Raw genomic sequence first — 14,362 nt, 5'->3', positions numbered from 1 at the left:
CACACTTTTTCACACACACAAACACACACATGGCTACTCATTAGAAGTTATCCATTGTGCCTGAAAGCAGGCAGCACTAAGGCCAGTTACAAGTATTATTCATCAAATCTGCATACATTTTGTCAGGCTATTTCTGGCAACAATAGAAAGATTTGATTGTAGAAGAGAGTGTTTCCAGCCATTAGATTTAGATTAATGATATTTTTTAAAAGATCTGTTTGTGAATACTCATTATAACTGTGTGCAGAAAGAAGCCCTCAAGTAGGGACAAAACTATAACGTATTAACAGTAGAATTGAATTACGACTACAGCACACTGGTTGCCTACACCAGTGACTTCATGGGATGATCGTGTGTAAATTGTAGTCATACAAACTCATAGTCAAGATAATTTCTCATTTGCAAGACCCTTACCTAAGGACACATAAACACTTCTTTGTGTTTATAAAGATAAAGACTGGTTTCTATTTCAAAGACGCTTTGTGTTTAAAAAAAAACAAAAAAAAAGAAACAAAGTCTAGTTTCTATGGTTATTTTCCTGGTAAATTTGCCTTATTAAACATACAAGTTTCAGACATAAGAACCTGGTTTCAGACATAAGAATTTTACATTATTAGTTCTGGAGATGCTGAAGGCTACCCCAAGTAAGATTAGCCTTGCTACCTGCTAGGGACCTCTGTGGGTACTACTAAAGCAGAGTGGCTAGATTCTACTAAAAGAAAGATTTTCACATCCAAGGCAAGGACCTTAGAGTTTAGTAATTAAGAATCTAGGCTTTGGAGTCAGATGACCTTGTTTCGAATTTCAGATCTACAACTATTAGCAGTGTAAATTTAAGTCCCTTAACCTTCCTTTTTGTTTGTTTGAGGCAGGGTCTCACTGTCGCCCAGGCTGGAGTGCAGTGGCGCGATCTTGGCTCATTGCAACCTCTGCCTCCCCGGTTTAAGCGATTCTCTTGTCTCAGCCCCCCAAGTAGCTGGGACTGCAGGCACGTGCCACTATGCCTGGCTTTTTTTTTTTTTTTTTTTTTTTGGATTTTTTGTAGAGACAGGATTTCATCATGTTTCCCAGGCTGGTCTCGAACTCCTGAGCTCAGGTAATCCACCTGCCTCGGCCTCCCAAAGTGCTGGGATAACAGGCATGAGCCATCCTGTCTGGCCACCCTTTCTAAAGATTCATTTCCTTGCTGTCTAATTTTGAGAGTTAAACAACATAATGTATATAAAGCATTTAGCAGTTTCTATCACACTTGATAAATGAGAACTACGCAGTAACTATTATCACTATTATGAGTGTGGATAGTACTGTAAACTGCTAACTGGAGGTCCCTTCCCATCCCCAGTGCTCTCAACTCTGGACAACACTTATTCAGCAGCGCCTTGGGGAGCTGCCTTGGGCTGTTCCTCCCTGATGATTTGTCTTCTTTTACCTCATCAACTGTTTTTGTCCAGGCAGGTGAATGACACAAACAACAAAGTAGTCCTTTAGTGGGAATGCTGTGAGGTTTAGCAAAGTTTTGAAGTTTTGGGTCAGAAGAATGACTAGACACACACTAATAATTTGGTTTTAAAAAGGTGGGACAAGAGCTAAATGCTAAAAAGTGGGGATGGCCTGAAGTTATTATAGCTATTTTCAAAGTGTTTGGAAACATTGTAGAAATTATTTGTAATCCAGGTACAGCATAAGCCTTTTTCTCTTTAACATGCAACCCCTAGGACATAAAGAGCCTCTCTCTGCAGTTATAAAAGCTGTTCTCATGGGTCTGTTCCATTTCCCATCTGAAAGAAAAACTCCTGCACCTGGGCAAGGCTTCCCTGGTAACAGAAGCCAAAGGCAATGTTTGGATCTACCATTAAATTAAAGCCTGTTGGGAGTTCTGAAAACAAAAACCTCATTTGTTCCCCAAGCAGTATTATTTAAACAATGGCTGGCACACAGTAGGACCTCAGGTTATATTTACTGAGTGAATAAATGAATGAATGGATGGATGAAGAGGTAACTCGATGATGTCTCTCTTTGTGTTCTGACTTCAGAGGCACCAGAAACTGTTCAGCCGGGTGCCACAGCCCAGCCTGCCAGCTCACATTCTTTGCCACACATTAAGCAGCAGCTGTGGAGCGAAGAATGCTATCATGGCAAGCTGAGCAGGAAGGCGGCAGAGAGCCTCTTGGTAAAGGATGGGGACTTTTTGGTTCGAGAGAGTGCAACATCCCCTGGCCAATATGTGCTGAGTGGACTACAGGGAGGCCAAGCAAAACATCTTCTCCTGGTGGATCCTGAAGGCAAGGTATCATTGACTTCTCATTAGAGGTTTCACAGGATGTTGTTCTATTAAGCATACCCTGAATGATTTCCAAAACCTGGTATTGAATAGTGCTCAAGGCTAAGTATTTGCTTTTTCTGGAACCTTCCAGCTGGAGCAGGACATGCTAACTAGAGGGTAGTGGAGGGGTTAGAGTAGGAGGCCACCCTGGAGTATCAAGCAGAGGACAGCCTCTTTCTGCCCTTTTCAATTCAATTCAATGAATTAAATGAATACCTGCTATATAGAAATAAAGGAATTTGCAGCTGTTTGTTGTTCAATATCACATACATAGTCCTTGCTCTCAGAGTGCTGATAATTTAATAAAACAAGTGCTTAAATAATTATAATATAAAGCTGAATGAGATAAGAATGGTTCAACCAAAGCATTATGGTGTTTCTCAGAACAGAGAGGTCATTCTGGTTGAGGCAAACTAAGAAGGTTTCTTATAGGGTCCATCATGTAAAGCAAACCTTGAAAGAAGGCAAGATTTCAAAAGGGGGACATTTGGAGTATAGAGAAGGAACCATAGGTGCAGACAGAGTAATAGAATGGTATTAAGCCAATAGAAGATGAATGACAGTAGCAAAGAATGCCTGTAGACAGAAAATTATCTTGGGAAAGGTAAGTTAGAGCCATCAATATGGGGTAGAAATGCCTAATTTGCCAGGCAGTGGGGAGGCATTGGCAGTTTTGAGACAAATGATGCAATCAAAGCCCATGTGAGTGGTGACATCAGCAAGATGGCAGAATAGGAAGTCCCAGCCCTTGTTCCCCCAAAAGAAACACAGAATTAACAACTCTATATTGACCAAAATACCTTTATGAGAACCACAGAATTCACTTCAAAAGTTTCAGTACCTCAGGTGAGCATAGAGCTGAAAACAGTCATGTCAAAACTGGTAAGAAGAACAATTTCACTTTATCTGCATCATCTCCTTACCCAAATCAGCATAGCTCAGTGGCAGGAAGGAATTCCATGTCTCATGACCTCTCCCTTGGGGGAATGGGGGAAAGAGGAGAGTAGAGCTTGCATGCCATGTTCTGGCTTTTCAGTGGGTTGCCTGAGGGACTGGTTTCTGTCTCACTTCACATGGAGTGCTCATGGTACTGCCATATTTTGGATGCCAGGAGCCACTGAGAACAAAGAAGAGCACAGGATAGCTTGCTGCAGCTGGCACTCCTCAGTACAAATAGGAGAAAGTACACAACTTGAAGGTTCTCCTTCAGAAGGGAGGGAGGGGAGTGAAGTGTGTCCAGAATTCCAGCTTTTTGGAGGGATACCTGATAAACCAGTTATCTGTCCTGCCACTTGGGGCACTGAAAGGAAGCTGGCATACCTTGGATGCCTGTGACCATGGACAACAAGGGATAGTGGGGTGGCTTGCTGCTATAGAACCAGAGAACTTGCAGTGCCACAGACATCAGAAGGAGCAAGAGATTACAAGTTCCTGAAAAACTGGCAAACCTCTGTAATTGAAAAATTGAACACACAGGCCCAGAAAAGTCACGTCCCCCCACAGAAGGTTTTGGAGACCCCCAGAATCTCTATTTGGGCTGGTTGGTGTGATTCTTCCCTTGTATGAAGCCAGTTTGTAAGGAAAGGGAGAGGTGGCTGTTTTTCAAATGCATAGATCCCAACACAAAGTTATGAAACTCAAAAAGAATCAGGGAAACATGGCCCAAACAAACAAACAAAATAAATATCTAGAAACAGATCCTAAAGAAACAGAGGCATATGAATTAACTGACAAAGAATTCAAAATAAGTATAATAAAGATGCTCTATGAGCTCAATAATACCATCCATGAACAAAGTCAGAATATCAACAGAGAGAAAGAAAATATTAAAAAGAGGCAGACAGAAATTTTGGACCTGAAGAATACAATAACTGAACTGAAAAGATCACTAGAGGGGTTCAGCAGCAGACTTGATTAAGCAGAAGAAAAAAACCAGCAAACTCAAAGAGAGGTCATTTGAAATTCTTCAGAAAAAGGAACAACAACAAAAATATTACTTTTAAAAAGTGAAGAAAGCCTAAGGGATTTGTGATACACCATCAAGCAGACCAGTTTATGCATTATTGGAGTTCAAAAACAAGAGAGTGAAGGAGAAGAAGAAGAGGGAAAGGGGGCAGAAAGCTTATTTAAAGAAATAATGTCTGAATCTTCCCAAGTAAGTGATGAGAATGAACATCAGATTCAAGAAGACCAATGGACTCCAACTATGAGGAACCCTAAGACATTCACATCATGATACATTATAATCAAAATGTCAAAAACAGAGAATTTTGAAAGCAGCAAGAGAAGAGACTCATTATGTGCCAGAGAGCCTCCATAAGACTATCAGCACATTTATCATAACCACCGTAAGACTATCAGTGGGTTCAATATATTCAAAATGCTAAAAGAAAAAAGACTGCCAACCAAGACTACTCCATCTGGCAAAACCATCCTTTCTTTTTTTCTTCTTCTTCTTTTGAGACCACGTTTCACTCTTGTCGCCCAGGCTGGAGTACAATGGCACCATCTCGGTTCACTGCAACCTCTGCCTCCTGGGTTCAAGTGATTCTCCTGCCTCAGCCTCCCAAGTAGCTAGGATTACAGGTGCCCGCCACCACACCTGGCTAATTTTTTGTATTTTAAGTAGAGACAGGGTTTTGCCATGTTGGCCAGGCTGGTCTTGAACTCCAGACCTCAGTTTATCCACCTGCCTTGGCCTCCCAAAGTGCTGGGATTATAGGCGTGAGCCACCGTTCCTGGCCAAAACCATCCTTTAAAAATGAAAGAGAAATATAGACTTTCTGAGATAAACAAAAGATGAGGAGTTTGTTAGCACTAGATCTGCCTTTCAAGAAATGCTAAAGTCCTTCAAGTTGAAACAAAAGGATACCAAACAGTAACATGAAAGCATATGAAAGTACAAAGCTTGCTGGTAAAGGTAAATATATAGAAAAACACAGAATACTGTAATATTATAATGGCAGTGTGTAAATAACTTTTAATTCTGGTTATAGAAGTTAAAAGACAAAAATGTGAAAAATAAGTCATATATCACTTAACAATGGGGAAATGTTATGAGAAATACATTGCTAGATGATTTTTTCATTGTGCAAACATTTTTGAATATATGTACACAAACCTAGATAGTATAGCCTACTACACACCTAGGCTATATGGTATAACCTATTGCTTGTAGGTTGCAAACCTATACAGCACGTTAGTGTACTGAATACTGTAGACAATTGTAACACAATGGTAAATATTTGTGTATGTAAACATAGAAAAGGTGCAGTGAAATAGGATATAAAAGATTTGAAATGGTACACCTATGTAGAACATTTACTGTGAATGAAGCTTGCAGGACTGGAAATTGCTCCAGATGAGCCAGCGAGTGAGTGGTGAGCGAATGTAAAGACCTAGGACATTACTGCACACTACTGCACACTTTATAAACACTATGCACTTAGACCACACTAAGTTTATTTTTTTTAATTTTCTTTCTTCAATAATAAATTAACTTGAGTTTACTGTAATTTTTTTACTTTGTAAACATTTAAATTATTTTAATCTTTTGACTTTTTTGTAATAACACTTAGCTTAAAATATAGGTTATAGAGCTGTACAAAAATATCTTCTTTCTTTATATCCTTATTCTATATGGTTTTTCCTATTTTAAAATTTTTTATTTCTATTTTTTACTTTTAAACTTTTTTGTTATTGTTAAAAATAGAGACAGAAACACAGACATTAGGCTAGCACTAGACAGGGGCAGGATCATCAATATCACTGTCTTCTATCTCCACATATTGTTCCACAGTCTTTAAGGAGCAATAACTTGCATGGAGTTGTCATCTCCTATGATAACAATGCCTTATTCTAGAATATCTCCTAAAGGACCTGCTTGAGTCTCTTGAGAAAGTGTCACTATTTTCAGAAATATGACCTTGGCGGTTTGCTTGCTTTGTTTCTTTTTTCATCATAGATTTGCTCGTACGCAGATAATGCAACATGAGCATTCTTTTCTATTAATGAAAACCTTTTGGTGTTGGGGATCCATGTTTTTAGTCTTTTCAAGAAGCTTGTTAAGGTCTGAAAAAGCTTCTGCTAAACTCTTTATTGTTAATTTTTTGGGGGGTTCTTCTTCTTTTTCTTTGCCTGCACTTTCCTTTCCTTTTGCCTCCTCTTCAGCTATGCCTTCCTGTTTCAGTTCCAACAACTCATTAGTCAATTCTTCAGGACAATTGCATTAGGCAATAGGAATTTTTCAGCTTCATTATAAGCTTATGGGATCACCATTGTATATGCAGTCTGTTGTTAACCAAAATGTTATTATGCAACAATAACTATGTAACTATAAAATATGTTAATGAATACACAAAATTTAAAAATGTAATTGGTGACATCAATAACATAAAATTGTGTGTGGAGAAATAACAGTGTAGAGTATTTGTATGTGATTGAAGTTAAGGTGTTATCAGTTTAAAAGAGATTGTTATAGCTATGTTTTATGCGAGCCCCATGGTAATCACAAAGAAAATACTTCTAGAAGATACACAAAACAAAATGATAAAGGAATTAAAGCCTATTCACTATGAAAAATTAATGAAACACAAAGGAAGACAGCAAGAAAGGAGAAACAGGACCAAAAAAAGCTTTAAGACAGAAAACAATAGAATGGTAATAGTTCTTCTCTAGTATTAACTACTTTAAATGTAAATATATTAAATTCTGTAATCAAAAAGCATAGAGTGGCTGAATTGATTAAAAAAAAACAAGCTCCAACTACATGCTATCTATAAGAAACTCACTTTATTTTATTTATTTATTTTTTTGAGACGGAGTCTCGCTCTATTGCCCAGGCTGGAGTGCAGTGGCACAATCTCAGCTCACTACAACCTCCGCCTCCTGGGTTCAAGTGATTCTTCTGCCTCAGCCTCCCAAGTAGCTGGGACCACAGGGGTGCGCCACCATGCCCAGCTAATTTATATATTTTTAGTGGAGACGAGGTTTCACCATGTCCGCCAGTCTGGTCTCAAACTCCTGACCTCAGGTAATCCACCTGCTTGGCCTCCCAAAGTGTTGGGATTATAGGCGTGAGCCACCACGCCTGGCAAGGACTCACTTTAGATTTAAGGACACACGTAGGTTGAAAGTGAAAGTTTAGAAAAAGATATTCCATGAAAATGATAACCAAAAAATGGCAGGAGTGGCCATACTTATATCGGACAAAATAAACTTTAAGTCAAAATATCAAAAGAGACAAAGAAGGACATGATATAATGATAAAAGGATCAATTCTTCAGGAAGATATAATAATTATAAATATATATGCACATCAGGGTACCCAAATATATGAAGCAAACATTGACAGAACTAAAGGGGGAAATAGACAGCAAAACAATAATAGTAGGGGATTTTAATGCTCCACTTTCAATAATGGATAGAACACCAGACAGATCAATGAGGAAAAAAAGAACTTGAACAACACTATGGACCAAGTGGATCTAACATACATATACAGAACATTCCATCCAACAGCAACAGAATACATATTCTTCTCAAGTGCACACAAAACATTCTCCAGAATAGATTATGTTAGATAACAAGACAAGTCTTGACAAATTTAAGAGGCTGACATCATAACAAGTATCAGTGGAATGAAACTAGAGGCAGAAGGAAAACTGGTATTTCCACAGGCAACAAAAGGGACACTAGAGAAGTGGCATTACATTAAACTAAAAAGCTTCTGCACAGCAAAGAAAACAATCAGCTTAGTGAAAAGGCAACCTACAGAATGAGAGAAACTATTTACAAACAATGTATCTGATAAGGAGTTAATATCCAAAATATATAAGGAACGCCTACAACTCTATAGCAAAAAAATAAAAGCAACCAATGAAAACATAGGCAAAGGACTTGAATGAATAGAGATTTCTCCAAAAAGACCAAAAAATGACCAACGGGTATATGAAAACATGCTCAATCAACATCATTAATCATCAGGAAAATGCAAATCAAAACCACAGTGAGATAATACCTCACACTTGTTAAGATGGCCATTATTTTTTTAAAAAGAGGAAGAAAATAACAGGTGTTCGCAAGGATATGAAGAATTGGTGCCCTCGTGCACTATTGGTGGGTGTGTAAAATTGTACAGCCTCTATGGAACACAGTTTGGAGGTTTCTCGAAAAATTAAAAATAAAACTACCATATGATCTAGCAACCTCACTTCTGGGTAATTATCCAAAAGAACTGAAAGCAGGATCTTGAAAAGATGTTTGCACTCCCATGTTTATTGCAGCATTATTCACAATAGTCAAGAGGTGAAAACTAAGATCCACTAAACAATAAATGGATAAAGGAAATATGATAATATCCATATAGTGGAACACCATAGAACAACCATAGAAAAGAGGGAAATCCTGTCCTATGCTACAGTGTTCTCAAGGAAATGGGTAGTTGCTGTTTGATGGGTATAAAGTTTCAGTCATGCAAGATGAAAAAGTTCCAGAGATCTGCTGTATAACGTTGTACTTAACAGTTAACAATACTGTACTGTACACTTAAAAATCTGTTAAGTGTATAGTACAGTATTAACTGTTACATAACAGATGTATATATATATATATATATACACACACACACACACACACACATACATACATATGTAACAGATCTCATGTTATATGTTTCTTACCACAGTGAAAAATCTTGTGTGGGTGAAGTTACAAACACAAGTGTCTGCAGGACTAGGCCAGTACTGTAAGTGAATAAAGCTGGGCAGGGGATAGAGCGAGCATAAGGTACAGTGGGCTGTGTTAAAAAAGGCACATACCCTGTGTAAGGGGGCAGTCACCACTCAGCTCCAACCAAACGCTGTCATGCAGAGCAGAGGCCCAGTGGGACCAGATTTTATTTTTTTCAAATAAGTCATAAAACCAGAGTTTTATAGGAACTCTCCTTATTTTTAATTCAAAATAGTTGAAACTCTCTGTGCGTAACCTCCCCTCCCTATCCTAGCCCCTAGCAAACTAAAGCATACGGGGCATTCAGCCAGAGTGGCCTGCTTACAATCTCTGTACTTGAAAGATTAATTTCACACTTGTATACAGGATTGATTAAAGAGAAGGGGAAAGACCAGGGACAGAGAGAGTAATTAGAGGCTTCTAGGTAAAAAGTAGTGACAGCCTGAGGCAGAAGAAATACAAAGAAGAAGGCAGAGTGACTTGGCATTAAGAACATAGAATGGAAGGATTGGTCAGCTGATTTGGTGTGGGATGGGAATGAGATGGAGGAGTTGAAAACCTTTTTGAGGTTTGGAGCCATTTGAGAGCAAATTGGTGCCATTGTGTCCTCTTCTGTAAATCCTTGAATGTGTATTTCCTAAGAACAGAGATATTCTCTTCCATAGCCATAGTACAGAGATCAAAATCAGGAAACTTAACATTTGTACAATACTATCTAAGTCATAGTCCATATTCAAATTATATTAATTATTCCAGTAATTATGCATGATTTTAATACGGCAAAAACCAACATCTAGACAGAACTCCAAGAATCCCTTGTAGGAGAGCTGGCAGAAATACATAACGAGGTGCTGCCTTGTTGCATGCCTTCCCCTTTCCTGGATGGTTCCTAGCCACCCTCCAAACAGGAGCACTTGTATAACCAGGCCACCAAGCTGGTAGAGCCACAATGGATAGTAATGTACAGCTTCTGTCTATGCATAGGGTACTAGGAAGGGAATTCCATAGAAGGCATGCCATAAGAAAATTGAATTTCTTTGGCATGCCGACAGTAAGTTCCATGCAACAAATATCTGTGAATCAGCTACTATGAAGTCTGTGGGAAGGACACATGAATGCCTATTAGAAAGGTCTGAGGAGGCTTCTTGGAGAAGACAGGAATGCTGAGCCTCCAAAGAGAGATAGGAGGTAGGACTTCTCCAGAAAGGCCTGCTTCTGACAGAGACAAGGTGATATGGAAGCACTCTGGTTAACAGAAGATAATTACAATCCTGGGATTCATGCTTGTATACAAACCAGTTAAATAGTTATAGAGATAGTGACATAGAATATACCAAACAATAATACTGCAAAGAGGCTGATTGCAAATTTGGATTGGGTGACAAGTGCCTACCATTTTCCTAACTTATGGGAATGGTTGCTTTAAAATGGTAATGAGGAATGAGAAAATTGTTGACTAGGGACTACAGAGTTTAAAAGCACCTTTTCTCCTAGCCCTTTGGGAAGCCAAGGTGGGCATTGGCGCTCAGGAGTTTGAGACTAGCCTGGGCAACACGGTGAAACGCCATCTCTACTAAAATAAAAAAAATTAGCCAGGCATGGTGGCACGTGCCTGTAGTCCCAGTTACTCGGGCTGAAGCACTAGAATTGCGTGAACCCAGGAGGTGGAGGTTGCAGTGAGTCGAGATCGTGCCACTACACTCTAACCTGGGCCACAGAGTGACACTCTGTCTCAAAAAAAAAAAAAAAAGTACCTTTTCTTTTTTCAGCAAAGTATCTACTTTAGGGATATATCTGGCATTTTCCCCCTTATTATTTATATCTTTCAGGAGAACTACTATAATTTAACCTAAATATATTTGTACTTCTTTTTCAAGGTGAGGACCAAGGATCATGTATTTGATAATGTCGGCCACCTTATCAGATACCATATGGATAACAGTTTGCCAATCATCTCCTCTGGAAGCGAAGTAAGCCTTAAACAACCAGTGAGAAAAGATAATAATCCAGCACTTTTGCATTCCAACAAATGACAGTATTGAAGCACCATCACACTGATATTTCAAGAAACCCCATTTTGTATTAGGACACAAAGATAATTTAAACTTTGTTTGTAGATAAAATAGAGCACAAACTGTGAAGTGCATCTTTCCAAGACCATCATGGACCAGGTCCTCTATAAAATGAAGAACTAACAAAAATTAGTCTTCAGAAATGAAAATCAGAAAAGAGGAAGAGGGTTGGTCATTTTAAAAGAAATTATATGTATGCACGGATGTCACTTTTTAAGGCCATATTGCATTGATAACAAGCTAAAAGCACAACTAAAATTTCACATGCTAACGACAACTTGAATGAACTGCTGGGGCAGTGGTATGTGCCTTTCAACTTGATAATTTGGGGGACATTTTCATATTGGGAGATTAATTCTAAGTATCTTCATGTTCTATGACTATAGAACCATTTGCCAAAAAAAAAAGCTTTTCTTGCTACAAAAAATAAGCAATTTTCTTGAGCCTTATTGACTTTATTACATTTTCTGTTTAGCAGCATTTTTCACTGCAATGTTAAAATAAATATGACATTGAATTCGAACTGTGTGTATGTCAGTGGAATCAAATCAAAAGCCACTAACATGGCTGTCTGTTTCATTGGACTGTCCCATTTGCTGGTTAAAAGGATTGGGGCCCAAATCCTCTGGCCTAGCATTTCTCAGTGTTTGCTATTCAGACTGTCTAAATACAGCATGTGACAAGCTGAAGAAGCCAAATCTATCAGTCATTTCTGATTTCATTATATTCTCCCCCTCTTCCTGCTAAAAAGACAAAAAACAAAAAACAAAAAAAACAAAAAAAACCTCATGAGTGCATGGATTTAAAAGAGGGCAAACAAAACCAGTATTCTTCATATTTACTATTCAAATTGGTTTCATTCTTAGTAAAAGTACAGAATCTATTTGAAATTATAGTAAAATTTCTTCTTGATTGGCTGACACTGAATCATAGTTTCTCACCTACATATATCCTTAGCACCTCGTATAGATATGATCAGACAAAATGCAGAAGGAAAAAAAAACATATTGAATGAAGCACTTGGAAAGATTTTCCACATGTAGACCAACTGGTAAACTAACAGAGTGATTAAGCATGGTGTACAGAAAAGCATTACGCTGAGTCTTACCAGTGTGACCTTCAGCAAGTTGCTGAATCTGTTTGGGTTCCAGTTTCCTTGGCAATAAAATGAGCTAAATGGGCTAGGTGAATTTGGAGGACTACTTCAGTCCTAACTTATAGTATGAGTCTCTAAAAAGCAAGTTTTTCATTTGTTAGAGGTCGTTATTGATAACCAGTCTGTATAGTTAAGGTAAAAAATTAAGCTTTTCTTCTATAGTCTGTGTCCATACTCACAGAATGAATGGCACACCTGAGATCAACATTCACATAGTTTAGACTCCAAACCATTCAGTCTAAAATACTGAAACTTTGGAATATAGGGAATGATGATAAAAGTGGATTTGGTTTGAGTAGCAGAAAACTACTTATGTCCTTTTCTTGCCTTTCCAAGAAAAATGTTTTTTGTTTTTTTTTTTAATCTTGAGTTATCTGGATATTGCCTTGACTCCATTTCATTTTGGCTATGTAGATACAACTTAGTCTTTGTGATTGTGATATATTTGCTAAGTTTTAAATAAAACTTCTTTTGGATAGAAATCATTAGAAACCAAGCATACTGCACTCTAATATTTTACTGTAAAGGCTTATGATTTTTATTTCTACTGCCATTAATTTTTTAGATGGATTTGTTTCCTCTTACACAACTAGAATTAATGTATTTTTCACCAGTTTTCCATATACCTTAGGTCTTGATCGTTTGTCCTTAAAAAGGGGATCAGCATGAGTATAGACAGTAGAAATGTATGGGTAGTCTAACCACTTTTATCAGAGACAGAGCAGGGCTGTGGTCTCACTCTAGCTGAGCAGAGTATTAACTTGGTAGCAAGAGTTCCTGATACAAATAGATGCAATGACTGTAAATGGTGTCAGCAGTACACATGGATAATCAGTATTTGACTGTAATAGTATAGTAGTTAAATACAGCACTTAAAAATACCACAGACACAGTTAAAGCAAAAGGAAACAATAAAAGGAATGTCTGCATGCTATTTTAATCTCACATTCTTTATCTGTCTTAAAGTGGAAATCCATTTGCCTATAAATACCTGTAAACGACTTTAAAAAATAAATGATTATTGCTTTGTGACAATTGACAGAATATGTCTGATGTTTGGGATTTGGAAACTGTCATTTGTAAAATGTATCAGGGAAACACATTGGCTCAATCAAACTGGATAATTCAAGGTGAGTTTATTAAAGGGACTATTTACAAAGGTGTGGGCAGAGTTTAGGGAAATCAGGAGGGAGAATGCAGTGCCTTGGGGCCAATTAAGGGAGAAAGGGAAAGAACAGCTAACAGAATCTGGAGAGGGAGCTGTGTGCAAGGGCTGCCTTTTAGGAGCTGTGGCCTGTAGTGGAGGAATGCAATCAGCCCTGCTGACTCAACTAAGAGGCAGTGAGGGGCATTCATAACCCAACGTTTTTCTGCTCCCCCTATCTGTCTCCTGCTGGGATTCTCCAGTGGCCCAAGTAACTTGAAGACAGAGAGCAAGGGAGCTCCTTGATGCAGTTCTGGAGGTCAGCCTCCTGGGAACAGAGGAGGATGGAAAAGACTAGAGGGGGAGATCTGGAAGGGCAAATAAATGGAGTACATCTAGCACAGAGGACTTTGAAGAGAGTCAAGCTTCTAAAAGCATTAGAGAGGCTTTGGGTTAGCCAGTAAGGCAAAGCTAATTTGCAGAGAAATAAGTCCAGATTCTCAGGTAACCATAAATGAATTACAGCAAAAATGTCAACTTGTTACTATTATTAAAACTCAAGCTATATTTTGAAGCATTGGTTATTTTGCTCAAGAACAACTTCAAATGCATTTCAATCTTACAGAGATACTTTTAATCCCACCTTCATGTTTCTTGCAATTCCTTCTACTAATTTTGCCATTTTATTACTTGTAATTATATATGGAAAAGTAATGAACCTGACCCTGTTACCTTTTATGATTGGAATTATAGACCGACAAAAATTATAATATGAAATCACTATGTCAAACACATGTGAAATATACCATCTGCATCTGTGGAAAATATTTAAGTATCGACATATTAGTGTTAAAAATGAATTGTCTGTAGTTTGCCATAGTCTTACTAATGGGACAAACGGTTTTAGTCTGTGAATGAAAGAGAATTTATCACTACAG

At 38.1% G+C, this 14,362-nt stretch overlaps 1 protein-coding gene across 4 annotated transcripts in view, besides 1 other annotated feature; it reads left to right on the top strand.

Moving 5' to 3' along the window:
• The window catches only part of SHC4 (SHC adaptor protein 4), a 140,179-nt gene extending 126,864 nt beyond the window's left edge, over positions 1–13,315 (top strand). For all 4 annotated transcript variants that reach the window (NM_203349.4, XM_005254375.4, XM_047432493.1 and 1 more), the window contains 2 exons: positions 2,034–2,287; positions 10,930–13,315. In NM_203349.4, coding sequence (NP_976224.3) covers positions 2,034–2,287; positions 10,930–11,085 — 410 coding nt within the window. In that variant the 3' untranslated portion in view covers positions 11,086–13,315. The remainder of the gene's footprint in view (positions 1–2,033; positions 2,288–10,929) is intronic.
• Positions 4,118–4,318: a silencer, noted in NCBI's record as "peak2329 fragment used in MPRA reporter construct". NCBI's record gives its function as "represses an SCP1 promoter by STARR-seq MPRAs in K562 erythroleukemia cells {active_cell/tissue: K562}" and the evidence as "EXISTENCE:reporter gene assay evidence [ECO:0000049][PMID:32103011]".
• Positions 13,316–14,362: the final 1,047 nt, after the last annotated feature.

The sequence above is a fragment of the Homo sapiens genome, chromosome 15 (genome assembly GCF_000001405.40).
Source record: "Homo sapiens chromosome 15, GRCh38.p14 Primary Assembly".
Taxonomy (NCBI): Eukaryota; Metazoa; Chordata; class Mammalia; order Primates; family Hominidae; genus Homo; species Homo sapiens.
This window is presented reverse-complemented; position numbering and strand designations above follow the sequence as displayed.